The sequence below is a fragment of the Homo sapiens genome, chromosome 4 (assembly GCF_000001405.40).
Source record: "Homo sapiens chromosome 4, GRCh38.p14 Primary Assembly".
In the NCBI taxonomy this organism is placed as follows: domain Eukaryota; kingdom Metazoa; phylum Chordata; class Mammalia; order Primates; family Hominidae; genus Homo; species Homo sapiens.
Genome location: NC_000004.12, coordinates 17,837,345 through 17,864,813, shown reverse-complemented (window position 1 = coordinate 17,864,813; position 27,469 = coordinate 17,837,345). Strand labels below are relative to the sequence as shown.

The 27,469-nt window shown below is 37.6% G+C and overlaps 2 protein-coding genes across 18 annotated transcripts in view; one reads left to right on the top strand and one right to left on the bottom strand.

Annotated features, from left to right (window-relative positions):
- The window catches only part of LCORL (ligand dependent nuclear receptor corepressor like), a 180,689-nt gene extending 157,062 nt beyond the window's left edge, over positions 1-23,627 (top strand). For 9 of the 13 annotated variants that reach the window (NR_158566.1, NR_158563.1, NR_158568.1 and 6 more), the window contains one exon: positions 18,913-23,615. Coding sequence is in view for 7 of the 13 variants with exons in the window: in NM_153686.8 (NP_710153.2) it covers positions 18,913-19,093 (181 nt within the window). In the remaining 6 variants the exon portion in view is untranslated. Of the gene's footprint in view, positions 1-18,912 lie in introns of all 13 variants that reach the window. The other 4 variants (NR_136669.3, XM_047449965.1, XM_017007965.2 and 1 more) reach the window with 1 other exon arrangement.
- NCAPG (non-SMC condensin I complex subunit G) overlaps positions 19,949-27,469 on the bottom strand; it is a 33,887-nt gene continuing 26,366 nt past the window's right edge. For all 5 annotated transcript variants that reach the window (NR_073124.2, XM_017008543.3, NM_022346.5 and 2 more), the window contains 6 exons: positions 27,013-27,187; positions 24,977-25,138; positions 24,605-24,743; positions 24,121-24,207; positions 22,435-22,504; positions 19,949-21,512 (listed from right to left, as the gene is read on the bottom strand). Coding sequence is in view for 4 of the 5 variants with exons in the window: in XM_017008543.3 (XP_016864032.1) it covers positions 21,389-21,512; positions 22,435-22,504; positions 24,121-24,207; positions 24,605-24,743; positions 24,977-25,138; positions 27,013-27,187 (757 nt within the window). In the remaining variant the exon portion in view is untranslated. The remainder of the gene's footprint in view (positions 21,513-22,434; positions 22,505-24,120; positions 24,208-24,604; positions 24,744-24,976; positions 25,139-27,012; positions 27,188-27,469) is intronic.

Sequence of the window (27,469 nt, the reverse complement as noted above, 5' to 3'; positions counted from 1 at the left end):
TAGTGTATCTTTTCACAATACTTTTATTTTTAACCTATTTATGTCTTCATGTTTAAAGATGATCTCTTTTATTAAACAACACAGAATTGAGGCTTGCCTTTGTATCCAGTGCGACAATCTCTGCCTTTTCAGTAGACCACTTACATTTAATGTCACCATTAACATGGTTGGGTTTAAATCAGCCATCTTTCTATTTGTCCCACCTACTATTTGTTCCACCCTTTTTTCTCTTTTCCAGCCTTCTTTTGGATCAATACAGTGTGTTTTATTATTTTTTTAATCTCCTGATTTGCTTTTTAAAAAGTGGTTGCTGGCCAGGTGAGGCGGCTCATGCCTGTAATCCCACCACTGTGGAAGGTCACTTGAGCCCTGGAGTTCAAGACCAGCCTGGGCAACATGGTGAAACTCTGTCTCTACAAAAATCAGCCAGATGTAGTGGCACGTGCCTGTGGCCCCAGCTACTGGGGAGGCTGGGGCAGGAGGATCACTTGAGTCTGGGAGGTGGAGGTTGCAGTGAGCCAAGATCATTCCATGGTACTCCAGGCTGGGCAACAGAATGAGACACTGTTTTAAAAAAAAAGTGGCTTCTATAGGGTTTATAGTATACATCATTAACTTATCAGGGTTCTACCTTCAAATAATAATATAGTACTTCATGGGTAGCCAAAAATTTTTTTTTGTCTTTATTTTTGGTTCAGGGGTACATATGCAGCATGGCACGGGGATTTGTTGTATAGATTATTTCATCACCCAGGTAATAAGCATACTACCCAATAGGTAGTTTTTCAGTCCTCTCCCTCCTCCCACCCTCTGCCCTCAAGTAGGCCCTGCTTTCTGTTGTTCTCTTCTTTGGTCGATGTGTACTCAGTATTTAACTTCCACTTACAAGTGAGAATGCTTATAAATGTTTTGTTTTCCATTCCTGCATTAGTTTGCTTAGGATTATGGGCTCCAGCTCCATCCATGTTGCTGCAGAGGACATGATCGCATTGCTTTTTATGGCTGCATAGTATTCCGTTGTCTATATGTACCATATTTTCTTTACCTATTCTACCATTGATGGGATTTAGGTTGAGTCCATGTCTTTGCTATTATGAATAATGCTGTGATAAATGTACATGTGCATGTGTCTTTTCTGGTAGAATCATTTATATTTCTTTGAGTATATACCCAGTAATGGGATTGCTGGATCAAATGGTAGTTCTATTTTTAGCTCTTTGATAAATCACCACATTGCTTTCCAAAATGGCTGAACTAATTTACATTCCCACCAGCAGTGTATAAGCATTCCCTTTTCTCCACAACCTTGCCAGCATCTGTTATTTTTTTGGCTTTTTAATAATAGCCATTCTGACTAATAAGAAATGGTATCTCATTGTGGTTCTGATTTGCATTTCTCTAATGATTAGTGATATTGAGCATTTTTTCATATGCTGTGTGAATGTCTTCTTTTGAAAAGTGTCTGTTCATGTCCTTTGCTCACATATTTTGTTTTTTTGAGACAGAGTCTCACTCTGTTGCCCAGGCCGGAGTGCAGTGGCACAATCTCAGCTCACTGCCACCTCCACCTCCCATGTTCAAGTGATTCTCCTGCCTCAGTCTCCCAAGTAGCTGGGATTACAGGCACCCACAACCATGCTTGGCTAATTATTGTATCTTTAGTAGAGATGGGTTTTCACCATGTTGACCGGGCTGGTCTCGAACTCCTGACCTCAGGTGATCCACCCACCTCAGCCTCCCAAAGTGCTGGGATTACAGGTGTGAGCCACCATGCCCGACCCCTTTGCCCACTTTTTAATGTGGTTGGTTTTTGCTTATTAATTAAGTTCATCTTATAAACTCTGGATATTAGACCTTTGCCAGATGCATGGTTGGCAAATATTCTCCCATTCTGTCAGTTGTCTGTTTACTCTATTGATAATTTAGTTTAATTAGGTCCTATGTGTCAATTTTTGGTTTTGTTGCAATTGCTTTTGGCATCTTCATCATGACATCTTTGCCAGGGCCTGTGTCTAGAATGGTATTTCATTGGTTATCCTCCAGGGTTTTTATACTTTGAGGTTTTACATTGAAGTCCTTAATCCATCTTGAGTTGATTTTTGTATATGGTGTAAGGAAGGAGCGCAGTTTCAATCTTCTGTATATGGCTAGCCAGTTATCCCAGCACCATATACTGAATAGGGACTTCTTTTTCTATTGCTTGTTTTTGTCAGCTTTGTCAAGGATCAGATGGTTGTAGATGTGCAGCTTTATTTCTCAGCCTTCTTTTCTGTTCCATTGGTCTATGTGTCTGCTTTTGTACTAGTACCATGCTGTTTTGGTTACTGTAGCTGATATGGTTTGGCTTTGTCCCCACTCAAATTTCATCTTGAATTCCCACGTGTTGTGGGAGGGACCTGGTGGGAGGTAACTGAATCATGGGAGCAGGTCTTTCACATGCTCTTCTTGTGATAGTGAGTAAGTCTTACAAAATCTGATGGTTATTATAAGGGGAAGTTTTCCTGCACAAGCTCTCTTCTCTTGTCTGCCAATATGTGAGATGTGCCTTTCACCTTTTGCCATGATTGTGAGGCTTCCCCAGCAATGTGAAACTGTGGGTTCTCCATTAAGCTTCTTTCCTTTGTAAATTGCCCAGTCTCAGGTATGTCTTTACCAGCAGCATGAAAATGGAATAATACAGTAAATTGGTACCAAGAGTGGGGTGCTGCTGAAAAGATACCTGAAAATCTGGAAGCAACCTTGGAACTGGGTAACAGGCAGAGGTTGGAACAGTTTGGAGCACTCAGAAGAAGACAGAAAAATGTGGGAAAGTCTGGAACTTCCTAGAGACTTGTTGAATGGCTTTGACCAAAAGCCTGATAGCAATAGGGACAATAAGGTCAAGGCTGAGGTGGTCTCAGATGGAGATGAGGAACTTGTTGGAAACTGGAGCAAAGGTGACTCTTGTTATGTTTAGCAAAGAGACTGGCAACATTTTGCCCCTGCCCTAGAGATTTATGGAACTTTGAACTTGAGAAAGATGATTTAGGGTATATGGCGGAAGAAATTTCTAAGCAGCAAAGCATTCAAGAGGAAACTTGGGTGCTGTTAAAGGCATTTAGTTTTATAAAGGAAGCAGAGCATAAAAGTTCGGAAAATTTGCAGCCTGACAATTTGATAGAAAAGAAAGACCCATTTTCTGAGGAGAAATTCAAGCTGGCTACAGAAATTTGCATAACTAATGAGGAGCCACACGTTAATCTCCAAGCCAACAGGGAAAATGTCTCAAAGGCATGGTAGAGGTCTTCACAGCAGCCCCTCCCATCACAGGCCCAGAGGCCTAGGAGAAAGTGATTTCATGAGCCAGGCCCAGGGTCCCCGTGCTGTGTGCAGTCTAGGGACCTGGTGCCCTGTGTCCCAGCCACTCCAGCTGTGACTAAAAGGGGCCGAGGTACGGCTCACTCAGGCTGTTGATTCAGAGGGTGGAAGCCCCAGTGCCTTGGCGGCTTCCACATGCTGTTGAGCCTGTGGGTGCACAGAAGTCAAGAATTGAGGATTGGGAACCTCTGCCTAGATTTCAGAAGATGTGTGGAAACGCCTGGATGCCCAGGCAAAAGATTGCTGCAGGGGCAGGGCCCTCATGGAGAACCTCTGCTAGGGCAGTGCAGAAGGGAAATGTGGAGTCACAGCCCCCACACAGAGTCCCTACTGGGGCACTGCCTAGCGGAACTGTGAGAAGAGGGCCATCGTCCTCCAGACCCCAGAATGGTAGATCCACCAAAAGCTTGCACCATACACCTGGAAAAGCCTCAGACACTCAAAGCCATCCCATGAAAGCAGCCAGGGTAGGGGGGCTATACCCTGCAAAGCTACAGGGGTGGAGCTGCCCAAGACCATGATAACCCACCTATTATATCAACGTGACCTGGATGTGAGACATGGAGTCAAAGGAGATCATCTTAGAGCTTTATTTGACTGCCCTGCTGGATTTTGGAATTGCATGGGGCCTTTAGCCCCTGTGTTTTGGCCAATGTCTCCAATTTGGAATGGCTGTATTTACTCAATGCCTCTACCCTCATTGTATCTAGGAAGTAACTAACTTGCTTTTGATTTTACAGGCTCATAGGCAGAAGTGACTTGCCTTGTCTCAGATGAGACTTTGGACTGTGGACTTTTGAATTAATGCTGAAATAAGACTGTGGGGGACTGTTGGGAAGGCATGATTGGTTTTGAAATGTGAGGATATGAGATTTGGGAGGGACCAGGAGCAAAATGATATGGTTTAGCTGTGTCCCCATTCAAATCTTATCTTGAATTCCCATGTGTTGTGGGAGGGACCTGGTGGGAGGTAATTGAATCATGGGGGCAGGTCTTTCACATGCTCTTCTTGTGATAGTAAGTCTCACAAAATCTGATGGTTATTATAAGGGGAAGTTTTCCAGCACAAGCTCTCTTGTCTGCCACCATGTGAGACATGCCTTTCACCTTTCACCATGATTGTGAGGCTTCCCCAGCCATGTGAAACTGTAGGTTCTCCATTAAGCCTCTTTCCTTTGTAAATTGCCCAGTCTCGGGTATGTCTCTATCAACAGTGTGAAAATGGACTAATACAGTAGCCTCGTAGTATAGTTCGAAGTCAGGTAATGTGATGCCTCCAGCTTTGTTCTTTTTATTTAGGATTGCCTTGGCTATTCACGTTCTTTGTTGGTTCCATATGAATGTCATTGGCAGTCTGATAGGAATAGCATTGAATCTCTAAAATTCTTTTGGCAATATGGCCCAATATTGATTTTTCCTATCCCAATATTGATTTTTCTTACCCATAATCATGGAATGTTTTCCCATTTGTTTGTGTCATCTCTGATGTCTTTGAACAGTGTTTTGTAATTCTCCTTGTAGAGAACTTTCACCTCTCCGGTTAGCCATACCTAAGAATGAAGAATAAATTCCTACAAATTTTATTCTTTTGTGGCTATTGTGAATGGGATTGCTTTCTTGATTTGGTTCTCAGCTTGGACTGTTGTTGGTGTATAGAAATGCTACAGATTTTTGTACATTGATTTTGTATCCTGAAACTTTACTGAAGTTGTTACAACCATACATTTGCATTTCTTCTCCAAGTCTTTGTGCTTTTACTTCTGTAAATGTTATAAACCTCATAGTACATTGTTCCTATTTTTTCTTTACACAGTTATCATTCAGAGATTTTTAAAATAGGAAAATAAGTATTTTCCCCATGAATTTATCATTTCTAGTGCTCCTCATTCTTGTGGACAGATCCAGATTTCTATCCCATATCTTTCCTTCTACCTGAATGAACTCCTTTAGCATTTCTTGTAGTGCACGTCTGCTGTTGATTAATTCACTCTGCCTTTGTATGTCTATAAAAGTCTGTATATCACATTTTTAAAAATATATTTTTCCTGAATATGGATATCAGATTTGACCATATTTTTCTCTTAGTACTGATGCTCCTCAACTTATGATGGGGCTGCTTCCCAATAAACCCTTGTAAGTTGAAAATACTGTAAGTCAAAAGTTCATTTAATACACTTAACCTATCTAACATCGTAGCCTAGCCTCACCTACCCTAAATATTCTCAGAACATTTACATTACCCTACAGCTAGGCAAAACCGTTAAACACAAAGCCTATTTTACAATAAAATGTTGACTATCTCATGTAACTTACGGAATACTGACATTGAAAAACAAAATGGTTGTATGGGTACTCAAAGCATGGTTTCTGCTAAATGCCTATCACTTTCACACCACTGTAAAGTTGAAAAACTCTAAGTTAAATCATCCTAAGCCAGAGACTGTACTTTACAGATATTGTTCTACTTGCTTCTTGCTTGTATTGTTTCAGAAGATGGGTATGGCATTCTTATATTTGCTCCTCTGTATGTTCTTTTTTCCACCAGATGCTTTTAAGATTTTCTCTTTATCACTGGTTATCAACAGTTTGATTATGAAAGGGCTTGGCATGGTTGCCTTTATGTTTTCTCTGCTTGGAGTTTGTTGAACTCTTTGAATATGTCAGTTTATATTTTTAATCACATTTAGACATTTTTTAGCTATTATTATTATTATTATTATTATTATTTGAGATGGAGTTTCACTCTTGTTGCCTAGGCTGGAGGGCAATGGCGCGATCTTGGCTCACCGCAACCTCCACCTCCCTGGTTCAAGCAATTCTCCTGCCTCAGCCTCCCAAGTAGCTGGGATTACAGGCATGCCCCACCATGCCTGGCTAATTTTGTATTTTTTTTTTTTTAGTAAAGACAGGGTTTCTCCACGTTAGGCTGGTCTCGAACTCCTGACCTCAGGTGATCCACCTGCCTCGGCCTCTCAAAGAGCTGGGATTACAGGCATAAGCCACTGCACCTGGCCAATTTCTTTAAATGTATTTCTGTCCCTCTCCTCTCTCCTCTCCTTCTGGAATATAAATCACATGTATTTATCCCACAGGTCACTGATACGCGATTCACTTTTGTTTAGTTTTTTTTTTTCCTCTCCTTATTTTAATTCTGCATATTACTATTTCTGTGTTTTTAAGTTCACTAATCATTTCTTTGGCATTGTTTAATCTGCTATTAATACCATCTAGGATATTTTTTATTTCGTAAGTGGTATGTCAACTCTGGAAGTTCAAATTCAGTATTCTTTATATCTACCATATTTGTCCACGTCGTGCTCATGCTTTCTTCAACTTCTTGAACTTATGAAGTGTATTTAAAATATCTCCATTAACATCCTCATGTACCAATTTCACAATCTGTGTTATTTATTTATCTATTTCTTTAATGACTTTTCCCCTTATTATGGATCATATATGTTTTTTGCATGCATGCATGCATGGTAATTTTCAGTGGGATGCCAGACATTGTGAATTTTATATTATTGTGAGCTGGGATTTTTGCAATGTTAAATGTTCTTGGGCTCTGTTCTGGGACACTGTTAACTTATTGAGAAATATCTTGATTCTTTCATGTCTTAAGCATTGTTGGCCAGAGCCAGAACACCCTTTAATCTCAGACAGTAGTTTACAACCAGGGATGATTTTGTCTCAGAGGATATTTGGGCATATACAGAGACATTTTGTGCTCTTACATTTAGAAGGTGCTATTGGCATCTAGTGGATAAAGTCTAGGGATTCTACTAAAAATTCTACAATGTCTAGCACAGCCCCCCAAAACAAAGAATTATCTGGTCCCAAATGTAGGGATGCTACTAAAAATTCTACAGTGTCTAGCACAGCCCCCCAAAACAATTATCTGGTCCCAAATGTTAGTGAAGCTGATGTTAAGAAGCCCTGTGGTAGGGCTAAGTTGACCTCACTATAGAGGCAATCCAGTACCCACCTGCGGACTTTACCAAATGCTCCATGTGTCAGAAGGTCAATTATATCCAGCTATATATAGCCTCCAGAAAATTATTACCTGGTTCTTTTCATTGATTCTTTTCACAGACTTGGGAAATACTTATCCACTGATCAGTATTTATCTTTAACCCAAGGAAAATCCTCTGCAGATCTGTCTGTCTCCTTCTCTCTCCTTTCTCCCCCCACCCCCATGTCTCTCCTATACTCTAACCCACAGATTCTAGTCACCTGGGACTTCGTGAACTCCAGTCACTGTCTCCCCAACTCAGGAATATTTCCAAGCTCTGTTGGGGTTCTCTCCGTATCATGCAGCCTGAAAACTCTCCAGGCAGTAAGCCACGTATCTGGTCCCTGCTACCCTGTTACTTCATCATGGCCAGAAGCAGAAATCATATTTTTTCTTTCAGCAAATATTTGTCCAGTTTCTATGTGCCGAGTACTGCAGATAAAATGCTGAACAAGAACAACGAGGATCTCTATTCTCACCAGTCTGTATTTTAGTAAGAGAGAAAAACAAACATAGAAAACAAAGCAGTGATAAATTGTGTTAATGAAATTGGATGATAGAAAGGAGTTTCTAGGGGGAGCTACTTTAGGTTGAGTTGTCTGGGAAATCCTTTCTGAATAAGTAATGCATAACCTATGAATGGAGTTGAGACATCTAGGCTATCATTGATGACTGAAACTGTGAGTAGGGATGAGGACCCCCAAAGAGACTGTGTAGAATAAAGGAGAAAAGAAAGACTAGGACTCATCCTTGAGAAATTCGAACTTTTATTATCCAAGTAAAGTAGGATGACTTGGGATGGAAGAGGCAAAAGGAAAGTGTGTTTTGTCTCAAAAGCCAAAAGAAATTAGTTTCATGAAAGAGGGTGCTTTAGTCTCCTTGGGCTACCACAACAAAATAACATAGATGGCATGGCTTAAACCACAGAAAATTATTTTCTCAAAGTTTTGGAGGCTGGAAGGTCCAAGATCAAGGTCCAGCAGGTTTGGTTTGCAAGCTGATAGATAGCTTGCAGATAGCCACCTTCTTGCTGTGTCCTCACATGGCAGAGAGGACCCTCTGGTACCCCTTCCTCCTCTTACAGGAACACCAGCGTCATCAGATTAGAGCTTCACTCTTACGACCTTAATTACCTCCTAAAGGTCCTATCCCCAAATACAGTCACCTTCAGGGTTAGAGCTTCGACATATGAATTTAGGAGAAACTCAAGTCCATAGCAGAAGAAATGGTCAGCAATATTGAATGCTGCCAAGGGGGCAAAAACTAAAATTCATTGGAATTATCAATGTGTCATTCATGGCTTTACTAAGTGCTATTTTAATGGAGTAAAAGCACTAGAAGCCATACTGGAATCGTTTAAGGAATGAGGAGCTAAGGAAATCGTGATAGCAAGTATAAGATAACTGCTTAAAGTAATCTAGTTATAAAACTGTTATCTTGAGGAAAACGAAAGATTGAGTAAAGTCTTATTTTTTAAAGAATGAGAGACCTTGTACTTTTTTAAGCATCATGGTGAGGATCCAATTGAGAAGAGGTGGTTTATTTATTGCCACAATAATGCTATATTACAAACTACCCCAACATTTATTAGCTTAAATAAATGAGCAGTTTTTATTTCATTCATGAGTCTGTGGTTGGCAGATAGGCTAGGATGTTCTTCTGATCTTGGCTGGGCTCCCTCATATGTCCTGGTGTTAGCTGACTGACAGGTGGGACATTTATCTCTGCTCCATGTGTCCCTCACACTAACTCAGCAGGTTTGCCCAAGCAATTTTTCTCAAGCTTCAGCTTCCATCATATTTGCTAAGATCCTGTTGGCCAGAGCAAATCACGTGGGTAAGGCAGAATGGGAAGACACTGCAAAATTATAGGGCAAAGAAAGTAAATTTAAGGATGAGTAAAGAGTTGGGACTATTAATGCAATCAATTTGATATTGATAGTATATCAAAAAAAGGATTATGATCATTGATAAGTTCTTGAGAAGGCAGATAGATGCAAACAGGGTTTCGGAACGTTATAAACCATGTCAGTTTTTGCAGTCTTTTACAGTTGGTTGGCAGTGTTTTAGATCAACAACTTGTTAATTGTTTTTAATTTCACATTACTAAAATTTCCTATTTTTATTCTTTTTATAAATGTAGCTGAATCATATTTATATATTTCTTGGGTATTTGAATACCTTATTATAGAAATTCAGGGAGTCTTTTTTTGTTCTTACATGGCCAAGGGTCATTTCTAAGTTGCATAACAGTGCAGTGTTCATTAGTTTCTGAAGATTGTTGGTTCTCTGCCCTTAATCCGACTATAATTTCCTTCATTTCCATTCTATTAAAAATTCAGGTGGCTCTCCCATTTCTAAGGAGAAAACTGTTTTTTTTATTCTAAATGTTTTCTTGTGAATTCTTGACTGCCATAGTTTGCTCTAATGGTCATAATACTTACTAGTTATTAAGCACACACTATGCACCAGAGTGCCAATCTTTGTGTCACCTTTATATTCAAAACAAAGTTAATATAAATAATTTTCCTAAAATTGGCTGTATCAAATTGCAAATCTAAGATTATAACCCAAGACTGTTGGTCTTCAGAGTCTGGTTCTTAACCATCATGTTCTTCTACTCCAAATACAGTAATCACAAGCAAGTAGAGAAAAAGTCTATAAAATCTTCTACTTAATCTACCAAAGCCTTTAAATTCATCAGTATCCTACCAAAGGAAAATTTTGAGAAAAACTAAGTTTTTTGTTTTTGTTTTTTTTTAAAAAAGCAATTGCAGTCTAAACTTACCTGTTTACCAACCAAAAGAAAGGATTTATTCAAATTTTAGACCTCATGGTCACCCTTAGAAACTGTGTTTACCTGGCTAGATATTTTGATCTCCCTTAAGCCCAGGGACTCAAAATTAAACGATTGTATTATCTGTCTACACAAATTTAATCTTTATATCTGATTATGAGAATTACAGGAATAACCTAATATGGTTCAATGCAGAAACAAATCATACACATATTTGCCATATTTTATCCCCAGTGAAAACACGGATATCTTTGATTGTCTTATGTTTTGCTAATAGTACTAACATTAACTCACATTTATTGTGTCCTTATTATGTGTCCAGTCAAAATGCCAGGCATTTTATGTGCATTCTATTCTCTGTGCCAAGTGCTTTACATAAATTCTTTTAACAATCCCATTACCCATAAAAGGTAGTGACTTTCATTATCTTCACTGAAGCTTAGAAAGATTAAGAAATGTGCATTTAGCTGGCCAGTGATTGGACTCAGGATCAGAACTCGAGCTCTACAAATCTTCCTTCTGCCCCAGCTTACCAACATCCTTATCCCTAAAGACCGTTATCAAATATTTCTTCCCCTTGTCTCCCTGCTCTGCTGGGATTAATCTTTCCCTTCTCTGTAATCCCTTAGTCCTTAGTTACTCCTTTATATTTATTGCATGCTGCTGTTTTATTCTGGTAATTTATGAATACTTTCTCACTCTGCCTCCTTACCAAGCCGCAAACCCCTGAAAGATAGATACCATCACTTTTTTTAAATACTCCTAATATGTTAAGTAAGTACTGCTTGAGGGTTAGAAGAAAGGATAAGTGACCTTCATGAAGGTTCTCTCATCTAGGTTCGTGCACTTAACAAACCTATCGTGATATTTGGATAGATTTGTGGAGACATCAATTTGCAGGACAGAGCTGAGCTGTAATAGCTAGTCAGTAAATTTTTACTCTAGTAATATTTAGAAGACACCATTCCAGAAGAAAGTAAGCTGTCATCCAGAATTTGGAGTTAAATAGATGAGTTCAGATTTGACAGTGTCAAGTACATTAACTATTCCAAGTCCAAATCCTGTACCAGAGCCCAGTTTATCTGTGATACAGCTGACTTCTCCCTTTGAAAAGATGAACTTGGTGTTCCCTGAAACTCTTGACCTAAAGAATACTCTGTTAGCTCTCAAAAACATGTCAGTCTATGCCCGAACATTATTCTCCTCTTTCAGGAATTGAAGGATATGAGTAGCTGCTACTTATTTAGTTAATGCCATGAGGAAACTTCATGCATTAAATATTTAACTCTCCTGGATGGGGTTACAACTATAGCCTTAGGCATATCTTTCTGTTTGAAACCTATAAACCATACACTTGTCCACTAATCTCACATGTTAAGCCTTCTGAAGAATAGAAAAATGGGTATTAACATGGAGAATCATGACAGAATTAGAACAATCCAAGAGTTAGTATGCAGTACAAGGTGATAGATCATAGGCCCTGGAGACTTCCATTTACTAGTTATGTGGCTTGGGTAAGTCATTTTACTTCTGTGAGCTTCAGTGAATAGTTGTTAGGACTGAATGTTGTATTGTTAAAAAAAAAAAAAAAAAAAAAAATCAAGCTTTTAGCACACTGCCTGGTACGTAGCTACTGTTCTGTAAGTGATATTTTCAGACCTGTCTTGGTTGCACCAAAATTTGATTCCTGTAAGAGTCGGCTAGGTAACATTCAAGTTTATTGTCCCTATGACAGAAATGAACATTGCATATCTCCAGTAATGCAAGTTTAAATTATTAGAGCTAGATACAATTTTACTTTTGTGAAGATTAGACTTATCAATAATCATTAATTTAAATCACAAATAATTATTTGGATTTCTATGACTCCCAAAAGATTTCCATCTTTCACACTTTGCAAATGCACATACTCTGTAAACTTCCATTCAGATGGTGGAGATGGACTCTATCTTGGGGTCCATGGGATTACCAAAGTATTGAAAATAGGCTTAGATGCCTACGTAACCATTTCAGATTCCTCTTGCCCTTGTTCAACCCTCACCTGCATTAGTTTCCTAGTTTGATAGAGAAGAGGCCTTACTTATGATAAGCACTTCTCCTCCCACTTCTTTCTCTTTTCACCAAAACATGCGGCAAAACTAAGGCTTTGTATTTGTATAGAGCTCCATATGGTTTTTAAAGCATGCTAATTGGCTCTCATTAAATTGTCACAACAAATCTGTAAGATAAGCAGCGAAAGTACCTTTTTTTTTTCTTATGAAGAAAATGAGGCAAGAGGTTAAGGTTACTTGTCCAGGGTCATTATTATTGTGATTATTGTCAGAAATTGAGCCCAGGTCTTTACATTTTTCCCCCCAACTCTACTCTCAAGAGTACCACTGTATACATACTATTGCTGAGCTTTCATTAGAATCCAGGATATAGATATATAAAGTCACTTTCTCAGATGACTTAACTGCTGCTGCTTTCAGCTTTCTAATCATTTTATGAAACAGAGAAGCCATGACATAAGAGTGATAAATCTGATGACATAGCATTTAGAATGTATTCCTGAGAAAACCACCATAAGAGATATAAACTAATAAACTGGATAGGGTGGGAGGAGAGTGGGATCACAAATCACTATAGAACAAAGGATTTTCATAACACAAGAAAAACATTATACTAATTGGCAAAGAACACATAAAAAGGGAACACAAATGGCTTCTAAAACATTAAAATATGCTTAACCTTATTCATAAGAGAAATGCAAATTAAAACAATGGTATGCCACTTTTTAACATCAGATTTTCAAAGATCTGTAAGTTTTATTATACATTATTGGTTAGAGTAAGAGGAATGAAAGACCTCTTCACACATTGTTGGTTAGACTGTAAAATGGTACAGTCTCCGAAGGGCACTTTGATAATATCAAAAATGTAAAAGCACCCTTTGACCCAGCTATTCTACTCCTCGTCAGCTCTATAGATATACTTGAACACATGCAAGAATATTCAATGCATCATTGCTATTTTATGCAATAGATTAAAACAGCCAAAAATTCTGTCAATTGAGGACTGATAAAATCAATTAAGATTTATCCATAAAGTAGAATTCTATTTAGCTGTTAAAAGAATTGAGTATTCATTGTACAAATATGAAACAGTATCCAAAATACATATTTTAAAGCAAGATACAGAACAGTATATAGAATGGTAGAATTGTGTACAAGGAGAGAGTTGAAACACAGATACCTACATATTTCAATGTGAGGGGACTATCTGAAGAATAGACAATAAAATGGTAACAATAGTTGCCCCAGAAGAGGGGCTTGGAGCACCGATAGACTTCTTTCCATTATATGACATTTTTCACTGATTTTTTTTTTATTATTATACTTTAAGTTTTAGGGTACATGTGCACAACATGCAGGTTTCTTACATATGTATACATGTGCCATGCTGGTGTGCTGCACCCATTAACTCGTCATTTAGCATTAGGTATATCTCCTAAAGCTATCCCTCCCCCCTCCCCCCACCCCACAACAGTCCCCAGAGTGTGATGTTCCCCTTCCTGTGTCCATGTGTTCTCACTGTTCAATTCCCACCTATGAGTGAGAATATGCGGTGTTTGGTTTTTTGTTCTTGCGATAGTTTACTGAGAATGATGATTTCCAATTTCATCCATGTCCCTACAAAGGACATGAACTCATCATTTTTTATGGCTGCATAGTATTCCATGGTGTATATGTGCCACATTTTCTTAATCCAGTCTATCATTGCTGGACATTTGGGTTGGTTCCAAGTCTTTGCTATTGTGAATAGTGCCGCAATAAACATACGTGTGCATGTGTCTTTATAGCAGCATGATTTATAATCCTTTGGGTATATATCCAGTAATGGGATGGCTGGGTCAAATGGTATTTCTAGTTCTAGATCCCTGAGGAATCGCCACACTGACTTCCACAATGGTTGAACTAGTTTACAGTCCCACCAACAGTGTCAAAGTGTTCCTATTTCTCCACATCCTCTCCAGCACCTGTTGTTTCCTGACTTTTTAATGATCGCCATTCTAACTGGTGTGAGATGGTATCTTATTCTGGTTTTGATTTGCATTTCTCTGATGGCCAGTGATGGTGAGCATTTTTTGATGTGTCTGTTGGCTGCATAAATCTCTTCTTTTGAGAAGTGTCTGTTCATGTCCTTTGCCCACTTTTTGATGGGGTTGTTTTTTTCTTGTAAATTTGTTTGAGTTCATTGTAGATTCTGGATATTAGCCCTTTGTCAGATGAGTAGGTTGTGAAAATTTTCTCCCATTCTGTAGGTTGCCTGTTCACTCTGATGGTAGTTTCTTTTGCTGTGCAGAAGCTCTTTAGTTTAATTAGATCCCATTTGTCAATTTTGGCTTTTGTTGCCATTGCTTTTGGTGTTTTAGACATGAAGTCCTTGCCCATGCCTATGTCCTGAATGGTAATGCCTAGGTTTTCTTCTAGGGTTTTTATGGTTTTAGGTCTAACGTTTAAGTCTTTAATCCATCTTGAATTGATTTTTGTATAAGGTGTAAGGAAGGGATCCAGTTTCAGCTTTCTACATATGGCTAGCCAGTTTTCCCAGCACCATTTATTAAATAGGGAATCCCTTCCCCATTGCTTGTTTTTCTCAGGTTTGTCAAAGATCAGATAGTTGTAGATATGTGGCATTATTTCTGAGGGCTCTGTTCTGTTCCATTGATCTATATCTCTGTTTTGGTACCAGTACCATGCTGTTTTGGTTACTGTAGCCTTGCAGTATAATTTGAAGTCAGGTAGCGTGATGCCTCCAGCTTTGTTCTTTTGGCTTAGGATTGACTTGGCGATGTGGGCTCTTTTTTGGTTCCATATGAACTTTAAAGTAGTTTTTTCCAATTCTGTGAAGAAAGTCATTGGTAGCTTGATGGGGATGGCATTAAATCTATAAATTACCTTGGGCAGTATGGCCATTTTCATGATATTGATTCTTCCGTCCAGCTTTGTTCCATTGCTGGTGAGGAGCTGCGTTCCTTTGGAGGAGGAGAGGCGCTCTGCTTTTTAGAGTTTCCAGTTTTTCTGCTGTTTTTTCCCCATCTTTGTGGTTTTATCTACTTTTGGTCTTTGATGATGGTGATTTACAGATGGGTTTTTGGTGTGGATGTCCTTTCTGTTTGTTAGTTTTCCTTCTAACAGACAGGACCCTCAGCTGCAGGTCTGTTGGAGTTTGCTAGAGGTCCACTCCAGACCCTGTTTGCCTGGGTAACAGCAGCGGTGGCTGCAGAACAGCAGATTTTCGTGAACCGCGAATGCTGCTGTCTGATTGTTCCTCTGGAAGTTTTGTCTCAGAGGAGTACCCGGCCGTGTGAGGTGTCAGTCTGCCCCAACTGGGGGGTGCCTCCCAGTTAGGCTGCTCGGGGGTCAGGGACCCACCTGAGGAGGCAGTCTGCCCGTTCTCAGATCTCCAGCTGCATGCTGGGAGAACCACTGCTCTCTTCAAAGCTGTCAGACAGGGACATTTAAGTCTGCAGAGGTTTCTGCTGTCTTTTTGTTTGTCTGTGCCCTGCCCCCAGAGGTGGAGCCTGCAGAGGCAGGCAGGCCTCCTTGAGCTGTGGTGGGCTCCACCCAGTTCGAGCTTCCCAGCTGCTTTGTTTACCTAAGCAAGCCTGGGCAATGGTGGGCGCCCCTCCCCCAGCCTCGCTGCTGCCTTGCAGTTTGATCTCAGACTGCTGTGCTAGCAATCAGCGAGACTCTGTGGGCGTAGGACCCTCCGAGCCAGGTGTGGGATATAATCTCCTGGTGTGCCGTTTTTTAAGCCCGTCGGAAAAGCACAGTATTGGGGTGGGAGTGACCTGATTTTCCAGGTGCCGTCTGTCACCCCTTTCTTTGACTAGGAAAGGGAACTCCCTGACCCCTTGCGCTTCCCGAGTGAGGCAATGCCTCGCCCTGCTTCGGCTCGCACACGGTGCACTGCACCCGCTGTCCTGCGCCCACTGTCTGGCACTCCCTAGTGAGATGAACCTGGTACCTCAGATGGAAATGCAGAAATCACTCGTCTTCTGCGTCGCTCACGCTGGGAGCTGTAGACCTGAGCTGTTCCTATTTGGCCATCTTGGCTCCAGCCCTGTCTCTTCAAAAAAATTTAAAAATTATTTGGGTGTGGTGGCACACACTTGTAGTCTCAGCTACTCAGAAGGCTGAGGCAGAAGGATTGCTTGAGCACAGGAGTTGGAGGCTGCAGTGAGCCATGATGGTGCCACTGCACTCCAACCTGGGCCACAGAGCAAGACGCTGTCTCAAAAAGCAAACATCTAGAAAGATACTTTCTAGCTGTAATGTTCTAATGCCCCTGGTTCCAGCACTTCCTAAGATAGCTGTATTCTAAGAATTCTGTAGAGCAGTACTGCCCAAACTTTGCATATCCACTGTTTTTTAAGTATATATGAATTAAATGTCAAGCTGTATATTAGTAAATTTAGGTTTTTTTCAAAACTGACATTTTCTTCCCATACATAAGTATAGTTTTGTGCACCTGTGGGATCTGTGTACCCAAATTTATACTATACCATTCTAGAAAAGTTACTTAAGAAAACCGCCGTATGTTTTTGAAAAGGAAAATCATGTAGTTTATTAAAGTATTCTTCTCTGGTGAAAACACCTTAGTCAAATAGCAAACAAAACAAAATTTGTTTTTATTTGTGACCATGATTATTTGTTCTATGCCTTCATTTTATTTTTTGGAGTTTAATACTTACTATACTTGCCTACCAAGCTATCTTGATTAATATAATTGTGTTTTTATAGCTTGCCTTAGAGTTTCTCAAAAAGGTGTACATCAAACTTTTGCTTTGAAAATACAAGCAATACAAATATGAAGACTAGCAGTCCTTGGAGGAAGGAAATGGCTTTATCTGAGTTTTGCTAACTTGAAAAACAAAAATGAGGTCCCTGAGGACATTTTAATAATAATGTAAATTTTTTCTAAATTCAGTTATCATTTCTAATATGTATGAAAATACTGTACTTTGGATCTCTTTGTCACATATACTTTAATTATATTATTTTTTAATCACATCCGTTTTAGCTTTTCAAAAAAGTGGTTTACTACTATTGATGCATACTAAGCTACCTGGTAGTTTGTCATTTTGTCTAGTATCTATTTATACAAATTGAAACTGTATTCTGTGGGACTGGGACTGTTTGGGGAGAATGCAGTTAGATATGTTAGTGGTGGTAAAACAGGATATAACGGATTTAGCTTATTGAATGGCATATGAGTTGGTTGGTTGAGGTTGCAAGGACAGATCTACTGGAGTCTGGACGCTCCCATTTCCCAACTCTACCAAGTCACTTAAATATGAGACCCTGAACCTCATTGCTAATAGGAAGACTTGTAGAGCTACAGTTGGAGGAAGTTTAGGAATGATGTAGTTCAAATGAACTAACCATAGTTAAATGTCAAGTGAATTAGAGAGCTGTTGAATAGTTTATAAACATAAGGATTCACATCTGAATATGTGGACTATAAGTAATATTTAAAACTAGGGATGGCGTATTCATTACACAGAGTGGACTAGCTCCCCTTTTGACTGTCACGTGTCTGTGATTCTGAAGAGTAGCACTCTGCTCCAGATGTTTCACAACAGGCTTTTTATAAATGTTTATTGAATTTTTGAGTAATTACTGTGTATTTAGCACTGTGCTTATCTTCACAGAGAAAAGAATGTTACCATCCTTTCCTTCTGATCTAGAGGGGGTTATCAGACTATTAGACATGAAACAATAGTGGAGAACCCCAAATAGTTCACAATCCAATGCAATGTTTTACTGAGAGCAAGTTCAGAGATGTGAGATTGGATTAGGCATGGGTAAAGGTTTGGTTAAGCAGAGTGGTGAGCAAGGTTCCCTATGTGGGAACATTTAGGAACAGACAGGACTGTGCTCATGAACTTGTGGAATAAGACACCAGTCCAGAACAGAGGGTGTATATTAAAGAATAATGTTGAAGAGATCTGACCAACCTAATGTAAAGCCAAATAAGCCAACTTTCCCATCAATGTAAAAAATTCTTGGAAATTTTTTTCAACAGAAAAAACAACCAGAGTATCCTGTGGATGCCGCATGCTCCTCTGATGAGCTGGCCATAAGTTTAATTCCTGATGTTTTTCCAGCCTCATCAGAGAGCTTAGTAGACAAGCATAAGGAAAAGAGAAAGGGCTGTATTCCAGTTCCAGGCAGGTGACTGTATGACCTCAGGCATATTTGTACTTAACTCTCAGAGTCTTGATTTTATTGTTTACTATGAGGATAAGCATACCAACCTTACTTGGCTTTTGCAAAATTCAGATGAGACAATACATGTGAAGGTGGCTAGAACGTAATAGGCATTCAACAAATGTTGATCCCTTTTTTTTCTCAAAGTGGCTCTCATTCTGATCCACAAAAGGGCAAGTTAAAAGGGTTGAATCCTACCAGGCTCACAAGGTTAAATAATTTCTGATGTATACTGATGTAATCCATATATGCAATGTTACTTTTTCAGTCATATGTAACTTCTCAAGTTACACAGGTTACATGGCATTATTCATTGTATTTAGTTCAGTAAGTAGGCGGGAGAGAAAACTGTTGTATTTTCAGGATAAATGCTTTATGTATGCTAAAATTTAGAGGTCCAAACACTACTACAACTAAATGTTCTTTTACAAGGTTGATAATTACTTTGAAATTAAAGTAAAACTAAAATGCCTTACACTTTTTCTTCCAGCATGCTACAAGTGAAAACTGATGAGAAACTGAATGTGTCTGATGAGAATACAGCAAGTTGCCCTTTGAGCCCCATTAAGATGTGCCTTAATCGTCCCATTGAATGGAATCTGAATTTGACAACAGCATCTCTAACGAGCTGTACAGTTCATAACCAAAATCTCAAAAGCGAAGAGAAATAGATTGCAGTTCTTCTTGCACTATCTTTATTTTGTATGTCAGTATTCCTTCTGAACAATAAGCATTTATCAATTGATCTTGAAGTATTTCTAGTCCTGTGATTTGTCTTTATATTAAATCATTAGCATTAATCATTTTGATTATATTCTTTATATGTTTTTTTTACATGTTTTACATCAGATCATTGTGGAATTTTGTAAACGGATTTTGATGTTTCTCTTTTAGTGGTATTATGTGAATTTTTTATGCCCTAAGTTTAAATACGTAATTGTCCCTAGTTTTATTTCTGTGCACAAAGTTTTAATATATAACACATTGTGATTTATAAAGCTAGTATTGTAAAGATTTGTGATGATAACCTGACCCATGAGCAGTTGTAAAACAGGTGGATACCAACTACCTCGAAGCAAATTGGTGAAAGAAAAGGCAAAGGTATCTCTTAGAAGTAAATCTCCTTCAACGTTATATATGTACAGAAGAAAAAAAGTTGATCATAGCTTTTTGTCAAGTAGCATGTTTCCCATTCACAGGAAAATGTGAGCTTATCAGTTCTTTCTCTGTATTTTAAATCTAAGTCTGTGGGCTTTAAGAGCAATGGCACAATTGCATGTTTACTGTTCAGCAAATCTGTGCCTCTTGATAGAGAAAAATACTATGTGGTTTCTGTAAGTTACCAGTTTTGAATGAAAAATGGTAAATGGATTTACATCTGTTTTATTGTACCTTAGCCTTTTATTTTAAAGTTAAAGGGATGACTTTTAAAAGCAGGACATTCCCTACCTTTAATAGTGCAAAGCACAGTTTCAGCAATGGCTACATGACTATGTCTAAAAACTGAATACTCAGAATACTAAAGGTTTGGTGCTTAAATTTATTTTTCCCATGCCAGAGAAAGCAAGCTTTGGTATGGTAAACCACATGAGAACATGGCTCCTTTCTTTTTGGATAGCCTGGCCATGTGTGAATGGGATTTTAGCTTATTATGTTTCTAAGACTTTTCCTTACAGCACACTTAATGTACCTTTTCAGTCCTTCTCCCAACCCCCTGCAAATTGTCTTTAAAACAACAACACATAAGGAATCTGAAGCACAGGAGAACACAGAGCCAACAAACAGAATGAAGAACAATCATCTATTTTTAACTGACTTTCTATCATTACCATTTTTCCTTTTGCTTAATAACTATCTTGCTTTGAAACTTTGACTCCTTTTATAAGTTCTATGAGGCACATATGTATAGCAATTTGGTTCTAAAAACCAGTGATCTTACTTTAGCTCCATCTTAAAATTTCACCTTAAGTAAATGGCCTCTAGTAGATGATAAGCCTAAAAAAAGCACAATTATTAAAACAAACAGATCCATGTTAGGACATTTCTGAATAATAAAGAGAAAAGGTGTTTCGTTGGGTATTGCAGAAAAGAGGACCAATTTCATATAGTACAAGTTTCGTAAGTCAGGCCAAGTGTCAATTTCAAAAGACAAGAAATGAAATTGACAGTGAATAGTGCTCATAAATTGGTAGCGTATATAAAGAGAAGTTCCTGTCACATTATATTCCCACTAGAATTATTATCCACAGTAAATAAATATTATTTTGTTATGCCAAAAATATAGCGAGCAGCTTCATGGTTAATAATACATTTATGTTGACACCTCCCTAATCCAGGAAACATTCACAAACAAGGACTCCCATATACAAATACTTTAGGAAGAGAGATTTCCCAGGCAGATATCACCAAAAATGTTTTCACTGTAGGAATCACAAAATAAGTTTTTGTCAAAATAACTGTTGTTGAACGTTATACTGGTCTTCCTCACTGGTGATTGATAAGCTCCTTTCTAGCCAGTTTGTGGTACTTCCTTCATTTTCCCTAGAAATGTTACTTGTTAAATGTGTCCTCAGGCGGTTTCATCTTTGTTGATTCTGCCCATCTAAGTCATAAGCTTCTCAAATGCAAGCTACTAGCTAGTTACACTTGTAAGTTTTCCATAATGACATGATTTTAAACATAAAGAGTTCATAAGAATCACTTGGAGAGACTATTTAAAAATGAGATTCCTAGGCCCACCTCAGATTGTGATAAATCTGTGTGACTGACTGATGCACACTTTTTCTGGACTATAATAACTGATGCTGCTCTACTGCTTTAATACAGGCCAAAGTAACGTGGAAGCGCACAGCAGAAAATCTTCAGAAAGACATCAGGTTTGTTCTGATTTTGACAAGGGTAACTTCTTCTTTATTAAAGCAAATAACTGGACATAATCTTAAAGGATTCCACCTCCATCGTCTTTCCTAACTTAGATCTTCATTGAGAAATTGGGCAAGGTTAAGTTTACTTTTTTCTAGTGCTGCGGTTTTGGCTCGTCTTGGTAGTCTCATCTTCATTTCTGATTCTGGTTCTGGAACTTCATGATCACTAAATAGATGTTGAAAATACACGAATTTAGATACAAGCTTTAAAACCAGTTTATTTATAAATAAAACTTTTTTGTTTCTGACTCACATTCTATCAGTGTTTAATTGATAGCCTGATTCCATTGACTTAGCTTAAAACTAAAATCTCAATGTCAAAAAAACACTGACTTGGCTATCTAGCAAAGTGAATCAGGGAAAATCTAGCTAATGATTTTATATACTATAACAGAACCTGGTGTTATACAGGAAAAAAAGCCACAAACTTGTAATGAAGCTTGTAATTAAACGAGGACCATAACTGTCCAAAAGAGATTTCTTTGAAACTCAAGAAGTGACAAAAAAATTAAGTTCTCTCTCTTGATTTAAGCAATAAATTCCAAAAACATAGTAAAAAACAAGTTTCCCCCCAAAAAAGACAAATTTAATCAACAGTGTAAAACTATGTACTGAAAATACACACAATACAATTTTGCAAATGAATACAAGACAGCTACCAACTTTCAGCTCTAACAGTGGCTTGACTGACAGAAGCCAAAAATAAAACACTCTACCACACAATATACCCAAATTATAGACAGAATTATTCTATCAGTATGTAAGTGTAGAGAACCCAAATATTATCAAAATCAAGAGTTTGCTAACTGAAGATCAAAGAGGAGTCACATCATGTAATTAAAAATTGAAACAACATATTAAAGATAGTACTAAAGACCATGCCAGCTAATAGGCAAAAGCAAACACGCCGTAAGAAGTCAAATGCTCTTGATGATGGAATTTTAGACTATATACCTAAGACAGCTATTTATAGTTTTCACTATCTTGTTATATATTCTCTCTCATTCGCAAGAAAATTAGTTTTTTTCTACTTGTAGAAATAAAAAGTGAAGATAGGCCTCCATATATTCTAGACATGCATGACATACCTTTCAGAGTCGGCTTCAGCAGTCTGACACCTCCTGTTCGTCCTAGCTGAAACTGTCACTTTTCTCTGTCCTTGAAGATAGTATAATTCATTATCAGGATTTATTATCAGTTGCTTTTTGTTTTTAATCTAGTTTCTAGGCTAACTAAATCCTTTGTCTTCAACACAACAATCCTTTCAACACATGTATCTCCTACTTGTTCTAGCCATCTTGGTACCAGTTATCACTGCCACAGAAAAAGGAACCCAAGCAAGATTAAAACTTAATTTATTTTGTAAGCACTAATAATGAGTAAGGGAAAATAAGGAAATTTCAAGCAAGTTAAAAGAAGGCAAATTTTAGTTCAATGTATTTGAGGACAGTATATGAAAAATGTGTTATAATGAAGTACCTCTATTATTGCTATAGCACAAAGTCTGTGGAGACTCATGAAAATTAAGGGTTAGAAAGGTAGGTTAGGTGCATAAACAGGTGCTAAAGAAACAACTTTTTTTTTTCTTGGAAGGTGATAAAACATAGTAAGGTAATAATGGCTTCTTGTAAAATAACATACATGACCAATTCAAATGTGTTCTAAAATATATTTCAATGTAAAAACTAGAACCTTTATATACTGGGGATTATAAGATTCTACTTACTAGAAATTTACAAGGTTAAGGAGTAAGACAAAGTTTGGCTTGTGATGTTTCTCATTTATAAGGAATAAAACAATATGAATATATGAAGTTTGGTCTATTAAAAAGGATGGTGTTCTCATGGTGTGATATACCACAAAAAAAATCTGATCAAAACCAAACTGTTCAATGTGACAGTCTGAAAATTATATACTCTACTTCATTCATGTTACACTTTTTTCTACTCCTTACCTGCTTTTACTAATGCATTTATCCCCAAGAAAACATCCAACAATATGGGACTAATTTGGAACAATATCCAGCAATTGGTATTTAAATAATTTACTGGTTACAAAACAATATTATGACCAGACTCCATTTTAGAAAAAATTAAATCTGCATCGAAAAGGGCCTTAAAAAATAGATTTCTAAAATCAAAATCATGGTTGGCTCATGGGTGGGATTATTAGTGTTCCTTATAGTAGTTTGTCTGGATGTACTTTCTGATTCTTCTGTAATAAGCATGCATTGCTTTTGTAATGAGGAAATAATAAAACAATAAAAAGATCTTGAATTTCAGATTTTTTTCCAAGTGACCCCCTAATAGTCAGCATTTACTTTGCCAACAGATCCCCTATTGTTGGATAGCCCTTGGGAAATAAGTTGGGAAAATATGAAATAAGATGGGAATAGAAGGAAAACAAAGCCCAGAAAAATACTACAGGGATTTTTTAAAAATGCTTAGTTACAGGAAGGATAGAACACAAATAACTAATATAAAACCATCATTTAACCAAATCTTAATTTAACCCAAATTGTCTTTTGTAATATCTTTTGCATCATACTTCTTTCAATCTAAAGCACCAAGAGCAACACTGATTTTATAATCTTTAGACACAAGGCAAAAACTGACATCCACAGAAAGAATTAAAAAGAAAGGATACCAAAGACATTTTAAAAAAAATCTTTATCCCTAAGGAAACAAAGATAAGAAAACTTGCAAAACAAGTATTTTTCATTGGAAGATAAAATTTAAAACTTTTATCATAAAGATGGTCAATCCACACACTACCTCTGTTAGTCTTTAGCTGAGTAGACTTTGATGCTTGGGTTGCTTTTACACCCCTGAGTGGAGTCATATATACTTCTTTATTCTTTTCTATTAAAGGGAATAATACAACAATATAAATAAGATAACCTCATGAAATATTTTAAATTGTCTTTTTAAGACCAGTTTTTATAAAACTGAAATGACAAAGTCCTTCTAGCAGCTAGTGAAAAGTTATAAATCACCCTTTCGAAAATTTGAATATTGGAAAAAGAAGCAAAACTCTTAAAAAGATGGTCATATGTTGAGAAATGCATGCCAAAAAACACTTGAAAAGCAGAATAAACATTTATCAGTAATGCTCTTTCCCAAGAGGATTAATTAGAAAAAAAATTTCATTCATTTCTGATGTCCAACCAAACATGTTAGAGTAGAAAAAAATATGTCTCAGTAAAGATGGAAAAAAAAAAACAGAACCTTATAAATATTCTGTTCAGTATGTGATTACCATCTTCATTTTGGAAAGTAGTTGTAGTCAAGGTGGCATCCTGTGCTGCTTCAGCTTGGTCACCAAATTCTTTATTTCCTTTTTCTAACTGAATCTTGATTTTCTCCAAAGCTCTCAGACATGTCCTATCTTTTACTTGCTATAAAAGAAAACATTATTAACATTTTGTAAACACCGCATTCCCTAATCTTTGAAAATAGTACCAATACATATCAAGTTGTTTAAAAACACTAAATTATATGAAATTTATGAAGAAAATACTTCAAATAAGTCACAATATGCTAACATATGTATAATCTAATACAACCATGTAAATTCTACATGTATAAATATAAACACAAACTAATTTAGAGTAATGAGAAACTACTTTACCTCCAGAATCTCATTCAATAGAACCAGAAGATCTTTTGCAAGATGGCTACTGAGTTCTAAAGAACTCAAGGCTTTTGTATAGACTCGAATTTCTGGCGAGCACGGACTTGTTAAGATCTCATTGCAAATTTTCATAGCCAAATTGTCATGTACTGTTAAGGCCTAAAAAATTAAGAGAAAATTCTCTGTAAATTGAAGATGATTATGATTATTATATAGTCTTACACATCTAACAAATATTTCCAACTAATTTTCTTGCCATAATCCCAAATATAAAATGTCTAAAACCAAATTTAACATCCTCCCTACCCCCAAAATAAGCTCCCCTTCTTGACTTCTTGTTGTGGATGTTGTGATATAGGGCCCAGTTCCACTCCCTTTAGGAAAGATGCACTCATCCCCCAGTTGCTGCATGTTTTGGAGGGTAAAAGTTCCCAGCTGCAGTACTGATCCAGGCTGACAATGGTGGACTTTGGTGGACCTTGTCCAAGATCATACCTCTTCTCCCAAAGATTTGTCCAAATCCAATGACTGGCCCGTGCACAAGTACAGTGTTTCAGCTTGTCTCCATTCTGGACAACTCAAAGGAACATCCCAGTTCCGGAACTCCCTATGGGATTGGCTGGGGCCTTTGTTTGCATAGCAGTAGTTGAACTTAGGGCTATGCCCCAATCTACTTTTCCCTTACTCTTCCAAGACACTGATCATGAGAGTACTCCCCAATTAAACTATGTCAACAGCTCCTTTGAAGTCTGCTGTTACACATACTTAGAGTTTTCCTGGACTCCTCCATCTCCCTTGCCTCTCAAGCTCTTTCTTTTAGATTCTTGTACCCATAATTCTTTATTAGGTCAATTTCTATTCTTTCTACTATTACTTTCTAGTACTTTTTCTACAAGCGAATTATACAGATTTTCAGCTGCTTTCTTTATTAATATTCTTTTCTTTCTGCTCACCAATTCATCTCATATAACCACCACTGACCACCAAATTAATCTTTCCAATAAGTGGTTTTCATGACATTAACCCTTTCATCATAAGCCCTGCATAATTATCCATTGCACATAAGGCCAACTCCAAATTCCCTACATTGGCCTTTAAAGCAATCTATAATCTACCCCCAGTGTTGTGCCCTAACAGTCCTATTCAGGATCCTTAGCCAAAGTCATCTTTCTACAGTTCCCCAATATTTGCATAACCATCTACATATATCACCTTTACTAAAACATCCTTCCTCTACCCAAACCACTCCCCAAATACCAACAAGGCCTAACTGAATTTTGGTCAATGAGTTTTAAAACTAATGCTGTACTCATCATTCCTACCACATGACTCTTGCCCTTGTCTCAAGTCATGAAGTGCTTAATAGCTCTATTACTGACCCTTACCTAATTTTGCCTAATATCCTTTGTAATCTTATCTTTCCAATAATATACAACATATGAATTGAACAGAGTAGCTTATCACTAAATATCAAATAAAATAGAGTAATACTTTCAACTTAATCTGTTAGCATCTGAAATCACTAATACATTAAATTTCAAAAATGGTAACAAGTTTGACCAAATGCCATTAAAGGATTAAAACAACCCAGCTTAAGTTCAGTCTGTGAGTCAGTGTGCAATTGATTTATCTTCTTTGAATTAAAAGCCAAAAAAGCTTGAGGTGAGTTCTAGTCTTTGAATTCTCCTTTCTTGTGCCAGAAGCATAGCAGGTAAGCCAACATTTGAAGACTCTGTGAGTCCTAGATAACATAGGTTATTACTTCAGATTAACAGTCAGTACTAGGTGGGCATGGTGTGGGTGGTGGATTTTTAGTAATTTCTTTTCAGTAGCAAAAATGTTAGCATTGATTACTTCTGTTTTCATATGATTTCTCCACATTTCCCAAGGTCATGTTTCTTTCGTGCTTTGTGGTATATGCTTGAGACAGAAGTCTAAAGACCAAAATGCAGTTCCTCAGTATTTCAAGGGATCTTTGAGAGAGATTATTTTACCAAAACAGTGATCTGCATGCAGTTACCACAGTCACTCACCTGATAATCTTGGGAAGTCTTGGCCTGAGGATTTAATCCACTTGGTCTTGTCAAATCTACAAGTAACTCAGCAACATTTGTGATATCAATTTCAGCTAAAGGAGAAGATGCAGGGGCATTGGCCAGTGTTTGCAGGGTTGGAAGAAAAGCTTCTTCAAAGCATTCCTGATTAGTCCTATTGAGAAACAAATTCAAAGTATGTTGGCAGAACATTATTTGATGAGAGAAAAAGTATGAAATTCAAAACTACTATGTAGGAAATTCACTCATTAAGTGCATTTTCATCTAGGAAAGAGCCAAAAATTCAGATAGATAAAATCTGTATCGTTCTTGTCATTTCATCATTTATCTACTAAAGACAGAAAAAGTATCAACAACAAAATATCATTATAGATATAATTCATGGGGGACTTGAATTTGATGTCAAGTCAGATTTTTGATTTATCAGTATGACTCA